General features: G+C 39.7%; 1 protein-coding gene and 1 long non-coding RNA gene across 2 annotated transcripts in view; one reads left to right on the top strand and one right to left on the bottom strand.

Annotated features, from left to right (window-relative positions):
- Positions 1–16628, top strand: part of DMP1-AS1 (DMP1 and DSPP antisense RNA 1) — a 164356-nt gene that overhangs the window by 108113 nt on the left and 39615 nt on the right. The gene's annotated exons all lie outside the window — the stretch shown is intronic.
- On the bottom strand, positions 7429–15773 carry DSPP (dentin sialophosphoprotein). The gene is made up of 5 exons (NM_014208.3): positions 15682–15773; positions 13343–13421; positions 12114–12197; positions 10994–11980; positions 7429–10517 (listed from the first exon to the last, which is right to left on the bottom strand). The coding sequence occupies exons 2-5, from the start codon at positions 13391–13393 to the stop codon at positions 7734–7736; spliced, it is 3906 nt and encodes a 1301-aa protein (NP_055023.2). The 5' UTR covers positions 13394–13421; positions 15682–15773; the 3' UTR covers positions 7429–7733.

Below are 16628 nucleotides of genomic sequence, written 5' to 3'. Positions count from 1 at the left end.
TGAACCCAGGAGGCAGAGGTTACAGTGAGCCAAGATCGCACCACTGCACTCCAGCCCGGGCAACAGAGCGAGACTCCGTCTCCAGAAAAAAAAGAAAAGGAAAGATAGATATACTTGCTCTCCATTTCTGTGCTTTTGAACTTTTGAACTCTATCAGATTACAGGCCAACACTACTTCACTGGTCACGCTGTGATTGGCAGTGATGTAGGTACTGCAAACACCTGCAGGTTGATAAGATTATTTCAAGAATTCTAAAAAGCTAGAACTGGCAATGGTGTTGCCAAAGCTCCACCCAATAGACATCTAGATTTGGACATTTCTCCATCAAACATTCCTCTGAAGATAGTTCTGTGAAGCAAGGAAGACAATAGGTGACAAACTTATCTATACACAAATGCTAGCATTACTGAGCTGGCATTTGCCTCTCTGATAAGTCCAGGTAAGTTTACTTACCTGTCAATTGCCATTTTGTTTCATGGCTTTCTCTTTCTAAGTGGAGAGCCGTGAATAATATTGTGGATGTGCTTTCTGATTATTTGTGTGGATTTTTTGCTTATTTTGTTTGTCCTGGATCTAGTCGGAGTGGAAAAGAGGACTGTGGTGAGAACTTTGGGTTGAACAAAATAGCTGCACTCTTCTTTTACAATCCTGAAATGAAATTCAGTACCATCAACTGGCAGATAATGACAGGTGAAGATTTGAGCTTCACTGAAAGAAAAAACTCAGAACAGGTTTTGAAGATTAGACTCTTCTCACTATTCAAAATAGCAAAGACATGGAGTCAACCTAGGTGCCCATCCATGGCGGACTGGATGAAGAAAATGTGGTACATATACACCATGGAATACTATGCAGCCATAAAAGAATGAAATCGTGTCTTGTGCAGCAACACGGATGCATCTGGAGGCCATTATCCTAAGTGAAGTAACTCGGAAACAGGAAACCAAATACCACATGTTCTCACTTGCAAGTGGGAGCTAAACATTGGGTACTCATGGACATAAAGATGGCAACAATAGAAACTGGAGGGTACTAGAGGTAGGAGAGGGGAGGGGTTGCAAAACTAACTATTGGGTACAATGGTCAGTACCTGGGTGATGGGATCGACTGTACCCCAAACCTCAGCATCACACAGTATACTCAGGTAACAAATCTGTACATGTACCCCGAATCAAAAATAAAAGGTGAAGTTATAAAAAATAAAAACCAAAATAAAATCTCCTGGAAATCTTAAAAACAATAAAATGTGTTATTTTAACTGTCCTTCAGACAAGCCAAAAAGGGTGAGGAGAAGAATGTCAAAATTAGAAATTGAACTTCAGAAACACAGAGCCAAGGAAACCCCTGGGAAAGAAGACATCTACAAAGTTAGTGCACAGCGACCTGGATTCCAGAGAAGACTGTTGAGTTCAGTTTAGAGATGAGAACTGCTAACTACCACAACCTGACAATTTATGGTGGGCTTCTAGTAACAGAATAGGATAGACAGAAAAGAGACAGAACGTGAACCTCCGTTTACGTGGAGTGGGTGAGAAATGAGAGTGAAGAAGTTGTGCCATGCTGCAGGGTTTAAGCAAGGAAAGCTGTATGCAAAACACAAGAATTCACAAAGTGGCAATGTGTTCTCAGGGTACAGATAATAATTAGCAAAAGAGAAACAGAGACGATGGGAGCGATGCAAAGTCCAACAGGTGATATTGGGTGATATTTAAAGAACAGACAGGCATCTGGGAATCCTGCCTGATTCTGAAGAACTAGCACAGGCGATCTCAACCACTGGGCCACAGACCAATACCGGTCTGTGGCTTGTTAGGAACCAGGCCGCACAGCAGGAGGTGAGTGGCAGGCAAGCAAGCATTGCCGGCTGAGCTCTGCCTCCTGTCAGATCAGCCACAGCATTAGATTCTCATAGAGTGCAAACCCTATTGTGCACTGTGCATTCGAGGGATCTAGGGCGCACTCTCCTTGTGAGAATCTAATGATAAATGTAATGGGCTTGAATCATCCTGAAACCGTCCCCTCCCTTCCTCGACCCTGTCTGTGGAAAAATTGTCTTCCAAGAAACTGGTCCCTGGTGCCAAAAAGTTGGGGACCACTGGACTGGCGGGATAGGCAGAGTCTTTGTTTTAACAGAGACATACGTCCTCAGAAAACAAAAATTAGCTCAGAGTGAGAGAGTAAAAAATCTCACCATTTATCAGGCTACATTAATAGACATATATAAAGACAGCAGCAAACTGAACAGGAACTATTTCTCTTAAGGGTGTTGAAGCTATAAAGCGTCATAACAACTCCCTTTGTTGAATGGACTCCTGCCTTATTAATCATTAAGAAACTTTATTTTTTTCAAAATCAAAGATTATCAGAGACTTTGTTGCTGTAGATTATATCGGTAAGAATGAAACACTCCATTCTTGCCTGGAGAGTCTAAGCTCTTTTGACACAGAAGCAGTCTCAATTTACAACCCAGGTGCAGAGAGATTCAGATAAGGGGTTTCTGGATACAACAATCCATCTTCATCCTAACTTTGTACCTTGCAAAGAAACAGGAGCCTGGGTCTATTTCATAATCCAAATCCTTATCCCTGTTTTCTTTGAACCTTTCAAACACTGCTTCATTTAAATACTATCTACATTCCACTCATTCCCAAAATCCTATAATAATTCTATCTTTTCCTTTGCTGAGCCACCTCTGCTGTGGTCCACAGCCACCTTCATTGCATTGCATCCATAAAGTCAACTGTATCAGATAACAGGTTTGCTCCTGGTGTTCTCAGGGTGATTGGGCTGGGGAAATTCTCATCCGTTTACCAGAATAGTATGAAGAACCTAGACAGAAGCCAACTTAGAAGATCAGGTCACTCAAAAGGAATTGTTGCTTTGGGACAAGGTCCGAGTCTACTTGTTGGAATCAAGATATTAGGATAAGACAAGAAGTAAGTGTGCCATCATGCTGTACCTAAGGGTTGGTCTGTTGCAGTCTGAGTATCTCTTGCCTTCAGTTCTGTTTGGTCTCAGAATAAAAAAGATGGAGTTAGAATAGCAAAGAAAGATTCAGTGGTTTCAATTGAGGAAAGTGCCAGGAAGGTAGGAACCAGCTGGTTGAGACTGAAATCCAGGAGTGTACAAAAAGACCAGTGATATAAGCCCAAGCACAGCAGTCCCTGGCCAGGGGGTTTGTCTGGGTTCTCACAAAGGGAGATGCCTGGGAATTAAAATCTGCAAAGGGCGAAGAGTTTCCTCCCCACAGAGCTTTCTTAACCTCTTTGAAGAGAAAAAGACTAGGGAGGAAAATAAGGAAACAGAGTAAAGGAGAGATGGGTAGAGCAGGTTGCGAAGCCCAAAATAATGGGTTTGGGAATAAGGGAAGTATCTTATGATCAAGCTCTATAAAATCAGTGCTTCATGCTAGAGTGGGAACTGGGCAAACTCATGGAAGACAGATTGAGTCTCATGTATCTTTAGATTTTGCACAATTTTTCTGAGCTGCAAGACTTCCCCATAGGAATTGAGTTTTTTCTTTTTTTTCTTTTTCAGCATCTGAACCCAAGATCCCTGTTCAGAGGGTAGAGGATGGGAACATTGTGTTGTTGGTTTGTTTCATTCTCTAGAGGATTTGCTTCCAAGCAGCAGTGAATGGATCACTGTGAGAACACAATGATATTTTCATCTATGACTAAACTATTCTATTCTGTTCCTGCTCCTTTTAGGGAGAGGAAAATTGTTCCTGGTTATTTTGGTCTAAAGTTTTTCAAAACTTCCATTACAAATCATAAAGCAAGTTTGACTTCTGGGAAATTACACTTCAGTTAATAATTTTAAATGTATTTGTATGGTGAAGTATAACTTTATAAATGTTATCTTTTTATGTAAAAAATATATTTTTTAAACAACAACAACAAAACCTGTTACCACATTTCCTGATTTGTGGTATGACCGACACAGAGAGAATTCTCCGGTCGATGGGGAGGACAAGACCACCTCTGAGAGTAAGTTTTCAGATCTTGTCTTCAGTCATCTGTGGAGTAATCCATGCAGCCAGAAAGAAATCTTGAATTTCTAACAAGTCCACCAGCACCATCCTGATAGCCTCTTGTTCAAGAGTGACAATGTTTCCTTGGCTCTTTTTACCGTGGTACAGATAAATCTAGAAACGCATTCCACTGCCACTCTTCCCTGTCCGTCTACACATACATCCTTCTTTCTTTCTTTCTTTTTTCTTTAAAATCTCTGCTTCAAAGTGGGAAAGAAACTTAGAGGTTTCTAGGGAAAAAGTGAATGTGAAAAAGTGAATATAAAATGATTACTAGCAGTAATTATTTTCTAAACCAATGGCTTTCAAACTTTTTAAAACTACAATCAACAATAAGAAAGGCATTTTCCATCAGGTCCTACTACATGTACACTTGGACATATTTGTGTGTGTACATATATAGATAGATATGATCCAGGTTCACAAAACAGTACAGATGGTACATTATGATTTTTCTTTTTTATTCTTTTGTTTTATAAAATATTTATCATTAGTCACTAAATTGATATGATCTACTAAATGAGTGGCAACCTGCAGTTTAAAAAATACTGTTTTTGTGGGCAATATTAGCAGACAGCCTATTAATCTTTATTCCAGAAAATAACTCAAAATAAGCTTTGTTTCCTAATACCAGACTTCTTGTGTTCAAAGGATCTACTTTTGCGATGTTCTTTTGTAGTGTGTCTGCTCCATTCTTTCCCTGAAAGTCCAGAAGTCAATGCAGATGTGATTATATAAGAAAATCAAGATCATATCTTTGTTACTTCTGGTATCAACCCTAGATTCTGAACATTCCCTGCCTCTAAATATTTCTTAAAGTAAATTCTTTATAAGAACTGGCTAGAAATTGATCCAGCTTAGGCTGTTACTGCAGGCAATATCTGCAGAGACTTTTATCAGACTGGAAATGGCTTAGAAAGTGATGGAACAATAAAGGCAGATCAAATACCTTATGGCACTTCATAAAACGAAATACAGCACACCCGTGAAGAAAAATGAAGTTGATCTGTGTGCTATGAACCAATATTTAAGGTATTTATTAAATTGAAAAAAATAAGATGAACGCATTGTGTATAGTAAACTTCCACATGTTTTTAAAAGGGGAATGTATGTACATAGAATATTTCTGAAACGCTCCACAAGATATTAGTAATGGGAATTGCTTATAGGCAATAGGAAAGAGATATAGAGGGCTGGGAGTGTAGAAGGGTCAAGATTTAAGATAATACTTCTGTATACCTCTTTATGGTGTTTGTTTTTTTTATTTTGTGCATATACATATATTACTTTTTTAATTAAAAATAGCTAATTTTTAAAAGAAATATTATACATCAGATTTTGTGATAGAGGGGGTATTTGCAAACTCTTTAGGATGAAGGGAATTTTCTTTGTGAGCAATTGTATAAAAGGATATTTACTTTAATAAATGGATATTTATTATAACACCGAGATTTATCTCCTTCATTTATGTATCTTGTGTAGTTTACAGAGTTCCATGTCCATTGCCTGACTTAGTGTTCATAGCAACCTTTTGAAATAGTTGTGACACATACTAGAAGCAATGCTTTACAAATTAAAACAAAACAAAACGAAAGAAAAAACCCTAAAATCTAAAGAAATTAAAAACCTAGAACATATTATATGGAAAGAAGTTTAGAGTCATGACATGACTGTGATGTAGTACAAACCTGGACATTTTGCACTCTTAAGAGTTACCAAGAAGTTTATGAATAGTATTTTTAAAGTCTTCAACAATACTCCTCACAATGTTGATCTCTTACCTAAGGACACTTGCATAGAGGAGGAAGAAGGCAGAAAAATAAACCTCCTGAAACTCTTCATAAAATATGCCTAATATTAGAAGGTAAATGGTCAACTAACAACTGGTTGAAAATTAACATTAAAGAAGTTGCATTCATAATCTCACTCTATAGATTTTCAGCTTTGCTTTAGAACAAAGCTAAAATAATTACCTCAATGGAAAAAGATGGAGATTTCAAAGCGTCACTACTAAATCTTGAAAAATACCCTTAAGGTTTATGGGTTAGGGTTATAGTATCTCCCAGTTTCCCTGGGACAACCCCAATTTATATCTCCTGTCTCCGTATAATTACTCATAACACCCCTTTCATTCTCCAAAGTGCCCTAATTTAGATGATAAACTATATCTCCACACTATTAAATATCAATCTCTATTCTCTATACACCTTTAAGATTGTCATTTTCTAGAAATTGGGCTTCATCTTGGGGCTAAGAATTACCTTCATTCATGCCAAAGCTGAGTGATATATACTCAGATCGTAACTGCATATATGACTCTCAAATAAGAAAGAGAAGTTTTCCAAACCATTACCCACCAGCAGCTTTAGCTTTATTAAAGAGATTAATAGTGGGAAGGGAGACTCAGGGTCTGGTTTAGAAGTTTTGGCGTGTTGAGGTTTTCAAGGGAAATGTGAACTAAGAATGACTTGGTGAGACTGATGTAAAGATAAATAATTGATACCACATAACACAGTTTTTTTGTTTGTTTGTTTTTTTGAGACGGACTCTCGTTCTGTCGCTAGGCTAGAGTGCAGTGGCACGATCTCAGCTTACTGCAACTTCCGCTCCTGGGTTCAAGCGATTCTCCTGCCTCAGCCTCCCAAGTAGCTGGGACTAGAGACGCGCGCCACCACTCCCAGCTGATATTTGTATTTTTAGTAGAGACGGGGTTTCACCATGTTGGCCAAGATGGTCTCGATCTCTTGACCTCGTGATCCGCCCACCTCGACCTGCCAAAGTGTTGGGATACAGGCGTGAGCCACCGCGCTTCTAAGTGATGCTCCTCCAGAGTCATTCATGTGTCATTTACTGGTTAACATTTGGAGAGTGGCTCCTGGGAGTAAGACACTGTTCTAAGCACTGCATCAGCTTTGTCAATAGTTTTAGGGACTTTGTACTAAATTTCCAGTGGTTTGTTGAGATGTATTTTTTTACATCAGATTTTAACATCAGATGCTATACATCAGATTACAGATCAGATTTTATACATCAACCTGTCTCTGAGCTCTTTCTGACTAGCACTCTTTAGAATTTCTGTGACTTATAACTACTCTATTTGATCATTAGAAAGATTATTCCCATAGCCCAGGTAGGTTGAATAGTAGCTGCAATTTTTTTTCATGTAACAAATAAATGTATTTCTTCCATAGAACAAGCAACTGAATCCAAAGCCAAGTTGGCTATCACAGTACAGCATCTTTTACTCAGCGGTAAGCAGACCACCTCTCCAGAATATATAACTATGGAGACTTAAGGCAATGCCACAGGTTGCTTTTAAGATGTGTCTGCCTGCTACATTCTCTGCAGCACATGGCACTTAAATTGAAGTTATCATGTAGTGATTACTTGAGGTTTCTGTGTGAAGTATTAAAGAATATTTTAATTGTTCTTTTATGTTTAGATTTACACTTTTAACAAAATATTTTCAGAACATGAATATTAACAGGCATGTACCAAAGGTCATGCATTCAGAGTCTGTCTCTGCAGGAGTTAGGTCTTGGTTCTGAATCCAACTGTTTGATTTGATTCCCCCAGTTGTTTTTGTTTACATACGTCTTATGTTTATTTCTCCCCTTTCTTTACTTTCTTGGAAATCTTTTTTTCCTATCCCATTACCAAACTTTTCACAAAAGGAATCTTACGGGTTTTTCTTTTGTTCTAATCATCACTGGTTGAGTGGTTACTGTCACTGCCTTCACTGTCACTGTCACTGTCACTTCCATTGTTGTTACCGTTACCAGACTTGCTCTGGCTGTCACTCTCATCATTGCTGTCAGATGTGCTGTCACTGCTATCACTGCTGTCGCTGCTGTCACTGCTGTTGCTGCTGTCACTGCTATCGCTGCTGTCACTGCTGTCGCTGCTTTCATTGCTGTCACTGCTGTCGCTGCTGTCACTGCTGTCGCTGCTGTCACTGCTGTCGCTGCTGTCACTGCTGTCACTGCTATCACTACTATCGCTGCTGTCGCTGCTATCGCTGCTGTCGCTGCTGTCACTGCTATCACTGCTGTCGCTGCTATCACTGCTATTGCTGCTGTCACTGCTATCGCTGCTGTCGCTGCTGTCGCTGCTATCGCTGCTGTCACTGCTGTCGCTGCTGTCACTGCTGTCGCTGCTTTCACTGCTGTCACTGCTGTCACTGCTGTTGCTGCTGTCACTGCTATCACTGCTGTCGCTGCTGTCACTGCTGTCACTGCTATTGCTGCTGTCACTGCTGTCACTGCTATCGCTGCTGTCACTGCTATCGCTGCTGTCGCTGCTGTCGCTGCTATCGCTGCTGTCACTGCTATTGCTGCTGTCACTGCTATCACTGCTTTCACTGCTATCACTGCTGTCGCTGCTGTCACTGCTGTCACTGCTATCACTGCTGTCGCTGCTGTCACTGCTGTCACTGCTATTGCTGCTGTCACTGCTGTCACTGCTATCGCTGCTGTCACTGCTATCGCTGCTGTCACTGCTATCGCTGCTGTCACTGCTGTTGCTGCTGTCACTGCTATTGCTGCTGTCACTACTATTACTGCTATCACTGCTGTCACTGCTGTCACTGCTATCACTGCTGTTGCTGCTATCACTGCTGTCACTGCTGTCACTGCTATCACTGCTGTCACTGCTATCGCTGCTGTTGCTGCTGTCACTGCTGTCGCTGCTATTGCTATCACTGCTGTCACTGCTGTTGCTGCTGTCACTGCTATTGCTGCTGTCACTACTATTACTGCTGTCACTGCTATCACTGCTGTCACTGCTGTTGCTGCTGTCACTGCTATTGCTGTTGTCACTACTATTACTGCTTTCACTGCTATCACTGCTGTTGCTGCTATCACTGCTGTCACTGCTGTTGCTGCTATCACTGCTGTCACTATCACTGCTGTTGCTGCTATCACTGCTGTCACTGCTATTGCTGCTTTCGTTGCTGTCACTGCTATCACTGCTGTCACTGCTGTTGCTGCTGTCACTGCTATCGCTGCTGTCACTACTATTACTACTGTCACTTCTATTGCTGCTGTCGCTATCACTGCCGTCACTGCTATCGCTGCTGTCGCTGCTATCACTGCTGTTGCTGCTATCGCTGCTGTCACTACTATTACTGCTGTCACTGCTATTGCTGCTGTCGCTATCACTGCTGTCACTGCTATCACTGCTATCACTGCTGTTGCTGCTATCACTGCTGTTGCTGCTATCACTGCTGTCACTGCTATTGCTGCTGTCGTTGCTATCACTGCTGTTGCTGCTGTCACTACTATCACTGCTGTCACTGCTATCACTGCTGTCACTGCTGTTGCTGCTGTCACTGCTATCGCTACTGTCACTGCTGTTGCTGCTGTCACTGCTATCACTGCTGTCACTGCTGTTGCTGCTGTCACTGCTATCGCTGCTGTTGCTGCTGTCACTATCGCTGCTGTTACTATTACTGCTGTCACTACTATCACTGCTGTCACTATCACTGCTGTCACTACTATCACTGCTCTCACTGCTATTGCTGCTGTCACTACTGTCACTACTATCACTGCTGTTGCTGCTGTCACTGCTACTGCTGCTGTCACTGCTATCACTGCTGTCACTACTATCACTGCTGTTACTGCTATTGCTGCTGTCGCTGCTATCACTGTTGTCACTACTGTCACTGCTGTTGCTGTCACTGCTGTCTGACTTACTGTCACTATCACTGCTGTCGCTCTCTGATTTGCTGCTGTCTGACTTGCTGTCACTGCTGTCACTACTATCACTACTGTCACTGCTATCACTGCTGTCACTACTGTCACTGCTATTGCTGCTATCACTACTATCACTGTCACTGCTATCACTGCTGTCACTGTCACTGCTGTCACTATCACTGCTACTGTTGCTATCACTGCTGTCACTGTCACTGCTGTCACTACTATCACTGCTATTGCTGCTATCACTACTATCACTGTCACTGCTATCTGATTTACCTTTGCCACTGTCTGATTTGTCATTGTCATCATTCCCATTGTTACCATTGCCATTACTGTCACTATTATTAGTGTCTGATGTGCTATCACTGTCATCATCTTCTGCTCCTTTTGAGTCACTGCCATTGCCATTATCTTTTGATTCATCAGAGTTATAAGAAGCATCTCCTCGGCTACTGCTGTTATTGTCACTTTCTGAATTAGCATCATCATTGCCATTAGATTCATCACTGCTATTGGGATCATCTCCTTGCATGGACTTATCATCAAAATCATAACTGTCATATCCATCACTATTGCTGTCACTACCTGTATTGCTGTGTCCAACTTTATTTCCTGGTTCTGATTTTTGGCCAGGTCCTTCTATGTTGACAACCTCTCCTTGTGTCTTGACATTGCCTTTGCCCAAGATCATTCCATGTTGTCCTTTATCCTCTTTACCTTCGTTGCCTTTCCCAACTTCTTTGGTAATATTTCTGTTGCCACTGCTGGGACCCTTGATTTCTATTCCCTATGGAAGGATGGAGGAAAGAATGATTAACTAGTGAATATTTGCTGCAAAATTGCATTGATCTGAGGAAGAATAACTGGGAAAAGTTGCCATAGGGATAGGAGTTACATTTCTAGTACTTCACAGTTATTTGTGAAAATGTGCTTTATTCTGTAATTGAAAGCATCCTGGTGCTTAGATTCCTTAAAAATTCATCCACATTCCTACCCAGTAGGAACTTTTGTAAACAATTACATGGGGATCCATGATTTCACATAAGACTTTTCTAGAATTATAACTAAGTTATCAGAAATGTAAGATGTTTAAAGTTGTTCTATCTCGAAGTCTAGTAAGGACTCTAGATTTCCTTAAATAGTCAAGTAATATGGATACAAAAATACATGGATGCTTGTCATGGTTTATTTTTGTGCTAGCATCAATAGATGGAGGGGAAGAATTTAAACTGCCATTGAAAGAAATCAGCTTTACAAACTAACCTTATCTTGGCTCTTCCCAACAGCATGTGTCTCTGATTCTTTGGTGATTCTATTTTCTACGCGTTTGCTTTCTCTATGGTTGAGCTTCTGGGTGTCCTCTATTCTTTGGCTGCCATTGTCTTCTGGAATACCAGCAGAATTCTCCTCACTCTTGGAGGTCTTGTCTCCATCAACTTCATTATGGGGATCTTCTTTGCCTTCAGGGTCATAATATTCTTTACTATCTGAATTTTGACCTATGCTACTATCATGATCATCTTCTTTCCCATGGTCCTGGCCCTCCTGGCCCTTGCTGTTATTACTACTGTCTTTTCCATTCCCTGCTTCTTCATCTTCATCATCACCAGAACCCTCGTCTTCATCCTCATCTGCTCCATTCCCACTAGGACTCCCATCGGAATTATCCAGGCCAGCATCTTCTCCAGTGCCTGGTGTTACCTCAGCTTCCTTAGTCCCATTTCTCTTGCTGTTGATCTGAGGTGTTATTTCACTTGTATTACCCTCGTTTCTACAGGAATTCTCAATTATTTCATCCTCATTGTCTGTACTGTTATTGCTTCCAGCTACTTGAGGTCCATCTTCTTGGACAACAGCGACATCCTCATTGTGACCTGCATCGCCAACATCCCCATTTTGGGTATTCTTATCAGTATTTCCATTAGTGTTGCTTCTGTTTGTGGCTCCAGCATTGTCAATGATGCTTACTTGTCCCTGGATGCCATTTGCTGTGATGTTTTCTTCTTTCCCATGTATTCCATCATGACCATATGTTTCTGCTTTTCCTGTGTCCCCATTCCAGCCCTCAATATTCCCCTCTTCGTTTGCTAATGTGGAATATGTAGAAAAACTCTTCCCTCCTACTTCTGCCCACTTAGAGCCATTCCCTTCTCCCTTGTGACCATCTTGGGTATTCTCTTGCCTTCCTCTATCACCTTCATGCACCAGGACACCACTTTCTTTGATGGTTCCACTGGCATTTAACTCATCCTGAAAAAGAAACAATTCAATCAATTATAAGTATCAATGATCTTGAAGGAAAGCAAATTGCAATCTTGGAGAAGTTAATGGAATGTAGCAACTCAGAAATAGGAAATAAAATGAAATATATTACATCCTATACCTGTACTGACACATTTGATCTTGCTAGGAGATGCAAATTCATGGATTTTTCGACATGTCTCTCCAGTGGTTTGCTTTGAGGAACCTGCCAAGTAGAAAATACTGGCTATTGAAAAGGTTCTTATTTGTGAATATGTGTGTGAGCGTGCACACACACACACACACACACACACACACAAATATTCTTCCCTCCATGAAGAAGAAAGGTTTAACACAAAGGCCAAAGTATGATCTAATCAGATAGAAAAGAGAAGTGGCTTCTTACAGGGCTTGTGTAGAATTTAAACTGGGTACATGGATATTTTTCACTGTGGTATTACCAATTTTATGGACGTGTTAGATCAGCCCACTTATCTCAACTGTAGAAGGAAAGAGTCTTGTAGAAAGACGAGGGGATAGACCTCTGGTGTTTCTCTACAAAAAGCCTCTTGCACTAGCACAAACCCGCTCTAAGTGTAATCCTGATGAAAACTCTTAAGAGAACAGGAGGCGTGACCAGAGCCTGCACAGAGGCAAAATCAAGTATTACGCTAGTATACTTCTGTGCTCTGCAAGAGCACATTTGAAATACTTGAGAACATTTTCAACTACATAAATACCAAATGTTTGGTATTATGAAAGCATATGAAAATGTTAAACATGATGGCTGGCTAGTAAAATTATAAATGGTTGAATTTTCTCAATTTTTTATTGGTTTTCATCATATATTCCAAATTTTCCACAGTGAGCACATAAATAATAACTCTGAGTGAAAAATTAGTCTCCTATATGTTGAAAAAAAATCTACTTTTTCTTATTATTCTTTCTTGGAAACTTCCTAAACAGCACAGACTTTGTTCGTATTAGAATGAAATTCACAGAGTATGAAGCAAAGATGGACAAAGTCTCCATGACTTCTGGGCATTAAGTGTAAATTAATCTGAATAAATGTTTTAAATAATAATAATCCTTCAGACGAGATATGAGTTTCTATAGAGGAATGAGACGATGAATTGGAGTGGTTTTGTTGAAACCTCACAGATATCACATAAAGCCCTTAGTGCAAATCTAAATGTTTAGACTCAGCCTGTTAAAAAAAATTAAGGAAACATATATACACACACACATATATACACACATGTACATGCACACACACACACACACACACACACACACACACTACATTTTGTATTAATGTTAGGTTAAAAAAGATAACAAAGTGAAGAGGTTTTCTAAGAAAGGCATACTTACTGGAATGGCCCATGCTACTGCCCAAATGCAAAAATATGTAATTATCTTCATTTTCTTTAGGAATAATAATAATCAATGGCTGTATAAAAAAGGAACAGCACAAAATTACTTATAAAGTAAAGGGAAAATCATAGTACTATATTATTTTGATGTGTAAGCATTTGCCCTTTTCCTGGACAAGAAGCATGTATCTAACACGAGAAGACATACGATGGTCCAGAACATACCTGGTGTGGTTATGGGGGCATCACCAGGCTCAGCACTAATGTAGCTTCCTAGATTTTTTTCTGCCTGTGCCAATGAAGGAAAACGCCATAATAGGTACAAAGGGCATAGCTGTAACTTTGTTCTTCTGCAATTCTTGGGTGTAAAAACATCTATTTCTCTTCTGAATAGCTTTAATCAAGTACTAACTAATTCTGCTGAAATTGTGCTTCAAAGGTAAAACACTTGTCATCCTTACTCCAAATCTATAGAATTGAGCTATACCAGACTTTAAGAGAAAGAAATTACTAACATGAGGGAGCCTACGCTAGTGGAAAGAATACGGGGTTTGTATTCAGAGACCTGGGTTCAAATGTTACCCCTGCTACTTGCTGTGTAAGCTTGAGAAATTTAAGTAGGTTTATTATCCCTCCACCTGGAATAATAACAACACCTGCACCTCAGGATTATCCTGAAGTTTGGTAGAATTATCTCTGAGAAGCCCTCTCTGACGCCACTTCAAAGGGTATTTGGTATCTCTTTCCTTTTTATACCAAGGAAGTTTGCACGTCTCACTGGTAACGCATTGCACTGTTTAAAATTGCCTAGTTACTTATGTGTTGCCCTGATTTCCTGTAAGCTCCTGAGGCCCAGGAGAGTGTCTTGGTGATTATTGTATTCCAATGCAAAGCACAGAAAAAAACGTTTTCTGAATGTTGTTGATAAATATTTATGACTATCAGCAATATCTAGCATTGCTTCAGGCACTTTGCAATTTTTGAATAAATGATAGCAATTATTTTATGGGACTTCTAAAATCATGATTCTTCATCCCTGTTAGAATTCAAATTCAGAAATGGTCTAAAACATGTTTCTGATAAGTTGGAATAGACATTTTATAATCTGTGTGAGTAAAAAAATTAATTTATATTGCAAGTTGGATTTCTTGAAGTAATGATAGAAAGGAGAGTTTTACTCCTATTTCATGAACTCCCACCAGATGTATAGATTATAATGCTGCATGTCATAAAATGGCTTTGATTGAATTTAATGGTGGTAGTGAAAATATAATAAAACTTCACTGAATATCAACTGTCATGAGAATTACTGGCGTTTTCTCACAGGAGAGATGACACAGTTCCAGAGCTACTGAGGGGGAAAAAAGTGCTCATTCTTATAGCTGTTCAACAGAAAGCCAAGAACAGCTAGAGCTCCTTCTGAAATGCCATAGATTCAAGTGAGGCTGAGGTGACACCAGGACAAGTATCATGCAGAGCTCTGGGGCACAGATGTTGAAGGCCAGCTGTTTACTAAGCCACAGTTATCCTGTACTTTGCAGTCCCAAGCCTAATCATTACATAGCTCTGCAGAAGGCCCGTCTGCACTGTGATTTGGAAGAGCCTCAGCATACTGGAAAGGTACCTGCAGCCAAGGCCAGAGTGATGCGTGTCCAGTTTCTGAGCTACAGTTCAGAAATCTGACCACTACATCTCTCTTTCAGCTCCACTCCTGAACAATTCCATGATGGTTATCACCGTTTCCAAGGCAGGTGAATGACTTCGAAGACTACAATAAAAATGGCCCAGGTGATCTCAGCATGAAACAAAGACTTCAGAATTTGTGAAGCTCCATCAGATTATTTCATTTATTGTTACTAATGAAATGAGATTTAGCTTCATTTCATTTAGCAATTAGATTTGGCATCATTAGTGATTGCTAAATTTCATTTCATGTGGGACAATAAATAATAAGTAATAGTAAGTAATAAAATACTAAAAAGCAAAGCCTAATTGAAGCCTTGTTTGAAAGCCCAAGGTGGATTTTTGAAATCTGAGTTATCTCATTTTTTATCAAAACTAATCAAAGTGCCCAGATAGTTAATTGTCAAATTTCCACCTCAGTTGGCCAATTTTTCAGTACGAGGTCTTTCTTCTTCCCAATCTATCTCTTCCTTAGGTCGTAATTGTCCGTTATCTTTTATACATACTATCAATATGACAAGTCAAAAAGGAAGCATACAATCTAATCATTAAGGGGTACTCGCTTCTTAAAATCAAACTGGCTTCATCTTTGAAATTCAAAGTTCTTTCTAAATGAATCAGTTGGTTCTGAGTAAAAAGGATATTTCATCTTACCTTAAAAGGCTTCAAAAGGATTTTGAAAATCCAGAATTTCTTATCTTTCTCTTTGAAGACTGAAAGTGGCCCACTGTCCTGGACTTTTGCATGACAATTTTGTACTTGCCGAAATTTAAACTCAGTTTGATAATTTTCTCAACCAATCACTGTTTAGGATCCCTGATATGGGGTTATAAAGTGTCATCGAGTCTATGAAGCACATAATAACTTCCCCACTTCCTTCACTTGGTGATATGTATTTGCTCACTGAACCGTTCGGTTCCAAAAGGACTAGACTTACTTTCACTTAATTAAACAGCTCCTATGAGGCTGTTTCACATCTTAAATATAGAGAATCAGTGTAAGATACCTGAAAAGAGCCACTTAAACTCTGTCACCCTGACATTTCTTGTCTTACCAAGGTTGGCAATCTAAGAAAACTCTAGGTTTCTTTAGTAAATATGACTGCCTATTTAAGACCCCTATCATTCTTGAGGTAGGTATTAAAGTTTCTGTGCTATAATTCAAGAAACTGTCCACATGCAGCAGCCTTGACGTTGCCTGAGGGATCTTTAACAATCTATAAACAGTAACTCCCCTGAAATCTCTCTGATTTAACTGAAATAAGCAGTGACATAAAAGCTTAAAAATCTATCAATTGAGTATTCAAACTACATTTCAAAAACAGACATTGAAAATGTCAAAAGTAGCAAGATGTCCAAAGGTGCATAAAGACAACAGATTTAGCTGTCCATTATCTCTCAATTATCTGTGTTAGCTGCAGAATGCAAAGTAGAAAACTAGACTTTATGTCTAACAAGTTTTGCAACATGAGTGCACCATTCTCTTGAACCCTAGATGTACTATAATGCAGGTAATCCCTAAACTATTTCTTCAATTCATGCATTCAAAAACTTGACCGTCTTTCTCTATATACTTGTTTAGAATTTTCAGGAATATGCCAA

Source organism: Homo sapiens, chromosome 4, assembly GCF_000001405.40.
Source record: "Homo sapiens chromosome 4, GRCh38.p14 Primary Assembly".
Lineage (NCBI taxonomy): Eukaryota > Metazoa > Chordata > Mammalia > Primates > Hominidae > Homo > Homo sapiens.
This window is presented reverse-complemented; position numbering and strand designations above follow the sequence as displayed.